General features: G+C 51.0%; 1 annotated feature.

Annotated features, from left to right (window-relative positions):
• Positions 2,662-3,521: an enhancer, noted in NCBI's record as "H3K4me1 hESC enhancer chr13:27541783-27542642 (GRCh37/hg19 assembly coordinates)". NCBI's record gives its function as "activates a minimal SCP1, AML or CMV promoter by ChIP-STARR-seq in primed H9 embryonic stem cells {active_cell/tissue: H9 hESC(primed)}" and the evidence as "EXISTENCE:reporter gene assay evidence [ECO:0000049][PMID:30033119]".

The following is a 6,496-nucleotide window of genomic DNA, read 5'->3' as shown; positions in this document are numbered from 1 at the left end:
CAGCTGATGGGCAGTTTCCACATTCTGGATTCTGCTGATTGCAGCCCTGGGTGTCCTTTAACATTTTGTCCCTAGTCTTATATTTCCTGTAAACTAGTAGTTAGATCTAGAAGCTGGATTGGGTTTGATTTTTTTTTTCTTGTCAAGAATACTTACTTTACAGGTGGTGGTGTTATTTCCATCAGGAGCACACAATGTTATGGACACTTTAATGTTTAACATAGTTAAAAGTAGATCAGTGTTGTCACACACGTCTGAACAATGTGAAAGCCGACTCACCCAATAGACACTGGAAATGAAAATGGCTTAGTCCGGGGTGGGGTCTTAATGGAAGTTAGTTGATGAATTAGATAACACAGGAATCACACTGCTCAGGATTGGCCTCCTGGAGTAGGAAGACTCCAGAACTGGGAACTTGTCTTACCTTAGCACTGCTACCTGCTCACCCAGGACAGGATGTCAATATTTGGTAATATCCTGGGATAGCTTTGAGCAACATGTGATGGGTGTGTCACAGGAATCGGGGCCTGTTTTCAAGGAAACATCCATAGCTCCTTTTCTACAAGAAGACTCTGGAAAGTGTTGCAAGGCCTCTGGCTTCAATATTAGATAGAAATCATGCCTCTAAACATCACCCTCAGTTGAGAGGAAGACAGGACAATGGTGTGAGAATGGCTATGAACTGGACTCTATTGGTGGATGGGAAGACATGTGCAGGGGCCAGCCTTGGGAGAGTTGCTCATGATGCTTTTTTTTGTGGGGGGACAGGGTCTTGCTCTGTCAGGCTGGAGTACAGTGGCATGACCTTAGCTCACTGCAACCTCTGCTCCCCAGACTCAAGCAATTCTCCCACCTCGGCTTCCTGAGTAGTTGGGACTACAGGCATGTGCCAACCGCTCCCAGCTAATTTTTTGTATATATATATTTTTGTAGCAATGGGGTTTAGCCACGTTGCCAAGGCTGGTCTTGAACTCCTAGACTCAAGCAATTCGCCCTCCTTGGCCTCCCAAAGTGCTAGGATCACAGGTGTGAGCCACTGTGCCCAGCCTTAACATGGCGCCATCTTGATCACTGACAACCACATATCCTCAAGTGAATCATTTATTTTTAATTTTTTTACATTTATTTTATTTTATTTTTTGAGACAGGGTTTTTGTTCTGTCACTCAGGCAGGAGTACAGTGGAGTGATCATGGCTCATTGCAGCCTTGACTTTTTGGGCTCAAGTGATCCTCCCACCTCAGCCTCCTGAGTAACTGGGACCACAGGCATGTGCCACCACTCTTGGCTAATGTTTTGTTCATTTGTTTCTTTTGTAGAGACGAGGTCTACCTATGTTGCTCAGGCTGGTCTGAGAGATCTTCCTGCCTTGGCCTCCCAAAGTGCTGGGATTACAAGCATGAGCCACCGAGCCCTGTCCAGTCATTTATTCCTTCAATTATCTCTGCAAGTTGAGGGGACAGACCTCTTTAATCCTTAGCTGACATTATGATTTCCTAGAACACAGAGAAACTTTGGAGACCTTTCACCTTAAAGATTTTTCCATTGTTATGTTTTCCTCTAGGTTAGCTTTGCCTTCCCGGTGAGGGAATTATTTTTCACTCTGTGCAAAGCACCCCAACTAGACACATAGCGGGGCCTTAGCAAACCTCCTTAACTTAAACCGAGGCAGGAGTTCTGCACTGGAAGTTGTTTGGGAATTTCAGAAGAAAGTTGCTGGAGAATTCCACTGCAAGATACAAAAGCACTAGAAAAATCAGAAAGCAGAAAGTCTCGCTGAACATAATATTCTAGTTTCACTCAAACAGAGTGGCTCCCATGTCTCAGGACATGCCAGACAATAAAGATAAGCATGAAGCCCTGTCTTCTTGAAAGGGCTTATCAGCCTCGTGTTTGAGGAAATTCAGCCTCCTGGGAAGATGCCCTCGTTGGCTATTCCCAGTGGATTTTACCAGGGCCCTGAGGCCCTGCGTTTGTGATGTCAGTTCCCCAGTTCTCAGGAAGGAGGTGAGAGGGGCTGAGGCTGTTTGGTCGTTGAAAAGAGAGGGGCAGGAAGTGTTTGCCCAGGAATCGGCGCCAGCAGGGCCCCTCCCCAGGCCCTCTGCACTTGAGAGAGTTCAGGGAAACTTTCTCATTATCGCTCTGACCTCCAGGACCCCTGGATGCCAGTTAATCATTACCCGGGCAGGGCTGTATTCCTGGGCTCTCTGGCCTGTTTTTGTGGCCGTGGGTTTATGACTGGCCTGGCCACGGGGCCTTGGCTGGTGTTTGGATTGTGCACTGATAGGCTCCGCTTGGCTCTGACTCAGCCCTCACTGGATGCAGGAGTCAGACCCCTCTTGGGGAGCTGGGTCGTCTGCGTTGTTTGCACCCCGTTCCTCATGCTGCTGGGAGGCTCCGACACTGAGTGTCCCAAGTCTCCACCAGGAGAAAGCCCCAAAGCGACACTGGGCACAAGAGCCCCAGAGCCACAGCAGAAAACCTCAGAGATGGGAGGGTACCGAGGCCTGGATGAGTCACGGCTGCAGTCCTTGGGGACTCCTGGTCCCAGTCCTGGCAGCTGGGGCTTAGGGATGCATCCTGCTCTGAAGTTCTCCCTTTGCCATGTGTTCTCCCCCTTTCTCCCACTATGTGTCTGCTCGGGAGCGGAGATAAGCCCGAGCTGTTCGCTGCATCTGTTGGAGAAGCAAGATGGCTGTCCCCAGCAGCATCACCTAGCTTTCTTGCTAACCATGGGAAAGTCCTCAGTAATTAAAGTTGGAGAAGGGTCCTGGTGATCCTTGATGACACCCCCTCAACTTCCCAGGTTTCACGGGAAAGCCCTGGCCCCCACAAAGTCCCTGCGTCCTGAATGTGCTTTGTCCCCTTGCTGTTCCAGCCCTCTGTGCTGTGTCTCACATCACGCCCGTTCCCACAGGGACCCTGCCTGTCCCACGCCACTGTTGCTTTCCCTCCTCCTCACTAACTGACCACCTCCTAGACCCTGCCCTTGTGACCATTCTCCTGATCTAGACTGGCCTTCCCTTCCGCAAAGCTGGGTGACAAAGGAGTGTTGCGTGCTTCGGGCCCCGCTGCAGGGATCCCCTCTCTCCTCTCTCCTGCACCCTCAGCACACATGCCCACGGGCTCAGAGCTGGGGGCAGCCCTGCGGTGGCTACATTTATTTGGATCTGAGTTGATTCCGCATTCTCCCTGAAGTTTGGCCCCCTTGGCTGGGGCTACATCTCCGTGGTCCTTTTTATCACTGCAGGTGGCACAGGGCTCTTTTCAAAATACGGGGATGACCCCAAGCTCGAAGCAATCCCTCATCACATCTGTGTTGCTGGGAAAACCAGGTCAGGATTGGTGTCAGCGTTTGTGGAGTAGAAAAGGAGAAAGGTGATTCTCCTCCATTTCCTTCCCTTCCTGTGCGCAGTGAGGGAGACACAGAGGCCCCACCATGCTCTGGAGTCCACGTCGTGGCTCTTCTGTGAGCCTCTCACTCTGCAGTGGAGAGCAAGCTCTCCTTGATACAAACCCCAGCTGCGGAGCTCAGGGTCCCAGGCAGGAGACAGGAACAGAGCTGGGACCCGGGAGTCTCCTGCACATGTCCTCCCCTCCTCCTTCCCCCTATCCCACTGCCCTTGAGCCTCACCCAGCGCCAGCCCGGCTGCCTTCTCATGGCCACATGTGCAGATCTAGTGAAGAGAGGAGCAAACAGAAGCCATCTGGAAGTGCTCAGGGAGAACCCGCCCAGAGAGCCTGGAGACAGGACAGGATGCTGGTGCGTTGCTTCCGAGTTGGCTTTGTGGACTTGGATTTGGCTGGGGCTCTGCTGGCTTCCTTAAGGAGACAGGAGAAAGGGTGGCTGGGGTCAAGTGCAGAAAAGGCCAGCTGCAGGACCCCAGACATTAGCCCCCAGCTAAAGGCCATGGAGCTGACGTCAGACAGGCACTTCCAGGGCCTTGGTTACCACTGCTGTAAGCTAAGGAGAGGGTGGTGGTGAGGAGGGTAGCACCCTTGTCTAGGGGTAGGTGAGAAGTTTAGACATAGACTAGACAGAAGACCTCTTCCTTCTACTACCCTCGAATTCTCGTGGAAGGGAGCTCTCTGGTTTGCACAGAGCAGAGAATGCCACTGAGAGATATTTACCTGGCGCTAGTGTGTCCACACATCTGAAGCCACGTACTACACCCTACTACACCCTTCTTTCGGGGCTTTATTTCTGAGCTTGGTGAGACAAGGAGAATTTGTCATTACAAACGAAGCCTGCTTCCTCTCTTTTATTACATAGTTGATAGCATCAGTTTCCCCTGTGATTTCTTTTATTACTCTCCATTTTTATTAATCTTGGGGCTGCTGGTGATAACAATCTCATAAAAAAATAACTGGGTGAGCTATTGCTGGGAGGCCCACTTGGATGAGTTAGATGTCTTTTTTCTCCCTAGAGTAAAGGGGTGTAGGGCACAAGTGCAGGCTCATTAGTACCTCAGCATCGCCTGGGATATTTACGAGGGTGGTCCGTATCCTGCGGTAGACATGCGCAGTGCTTCACAGCAGCATGAGTCCAGTTAGAGCGCCTGTGACCCATTAACTTGACGAAGGGCTCAGGTGCAGATGGAACTGTCAGGGGAGATGCATCTGTGGAGGTGCTGAGTCCTGTGTTCCAGAGAGAATCCGGGCAAATTCAGCCAAGGAGCGGATGGGGCCAATTTGACTTAACAATCACACTCGAGGCAGCCCAGAAAGGGGGAACAGCAGCTCCCTGGGAGATTAGGTGTTCTACTAAGAAGCCCTCAACTTCCCTCATATCCACCTTAACCTTTCACTTTGCTTTTCTAGATCAGAATGGGCTTTTCTTGGGCTTCCCTGCCTTCCCAGCGACCGTGCTGCGTGGACTTTCAGGAGGAAAGAAGAGCTCCAGGGCCTCCCCGACGCCAGGAGCGGGGCGGTCTTTCCCACCAGTGGGAGCAGATTGGAACCTTCCCAGGTCCAGTAGCAGCTGCTGAGAACAGAGGGAGCAGCTGGCCTGGCAGGGGGCCACACTTAGCTTTGGCTTTCTCAGCGTTTACATCCACCGCCCACGCAGGGGATGCAGGTTTAAATTGGATGTGAATAGGGAGTATTTAATTTGGACTCGTGAATACGGAGTATATTTAAGTGGCCTTAACCACTTTGACTTTGCTTGCAGTCAGCTGTCACTGGGCATCAGTCTGAAGCCTCCATGGATTGCTCTGCCACCTGATCACTTTTCTTGATACTGAAAGTGGCCTGGCAGGGATTCCATCTGTCAATGTTTCTTTTTCTCTTTCTTCTGCCACCCATTTCTTCTGACCTTCAGTCAACTCCAGATATTCATGGGGATATTAATTTCTTGGGCTTTGCTGCCTTTCCCAGTGGCTGCAAGGCCCATTCTCATCTAGAAAAGCAAAGTGAAAGGTTAAAGTGGGGTGTGAGGAAAGTTGGGGGCTTCTCAGTAGAACACCTAACCTTCCAGGGACTGCTGCTTCCCCTTTTCTGGGCTACTTTGAGTGCGTGATATTAACATCACCATGAATATTTGGATTTAGCTGAGGGTGAGACACATCTCTGGGTGTGTGTATCTCTGTGTGTGTGTGTGTGTGTGTGTGTGTGTGTGTGTGTGAGAGAGATGGGGTCTTGCCATGCTGCCCTGGTTGGAGTGCAGTGGCCATTCACAGACACCATTATAGCACACTGCAGCCTCAAACTCCTGTTGTCAAGCCATCCTCCCGCCTCAGCCTCCCGAATAGCTGGCACTATAGGAGCATGCCGCCTTGCCCAGCCATCATGGCAATATTTTTAAAAAGAGGCACCCTTCCTTGTGGACACTGGCTCATTTTTCATTTAACACAGAATGAGGAGGGCCTTTATGGAACTTTTCATGAAGTGAGGAAGTCTTGAACCATGACACAACTTGATAGGTGCACATCACCTGGTTTCACATTTCCTGGTCTGAGGCTCAGAGGTTGGGCTGGGCCAGAAGAGCCGGGCAACACACGTGGAATGGGGAAGTCACTCTGCTTATTACATGGAAAGGTGAGGGAGCTTCCAGAGATGGAGAGACGGAGGCTCAGGTGAACCCTCCCCAGCCTCCAGCAGCACCCTTTGGGGTGCAGTCATGCTGCAGAGGGGCTGGCAGTGGTGCTGCTTGTCCTCATCCACTTGCTGAGTGCCTCCCCATCTGGCACTTCCTGCTCGCAGACAGGGTCCTTGGGGAATGAGTGACTCAGCTCAGCCCAGCAACACCAGTGCCTGCACCCTTCTCCCGTCAGTCCTGCCCGCATTGAACACTCTCCTCAACCCTGCATTCCACCTGTCCCCAGACACACGTCATCTCTGCCAGCCACATTTACCACCCACTTGCTGGGAGCTGTGATATTTTTAAGAGTCATTGGCCTGCATTTTAGTAGCATGTTATCTCTTTCTCTCCCTGCATTTGTATCTATTTTCATTAAGTGAAAGTCGATACTATACAAACATTCCCTTTTCATATTCAT

Source organism: Homo sapiens, chromosome 13, assembly GCF_000001405.40.
Source record: "Homo sapiens chromosome 13, GRCh38.p14 Primary Assembly".
NCBI classification, from domain to species: domain Eukaryota; kingdom Metazoa; phylum Chordata; class Mammalia; order Primates; family Hominidae; genus Homo; species Homo sapiens.
This window is presented reverse-complemented; position numbering and strand designations above follow the sequence as displayed.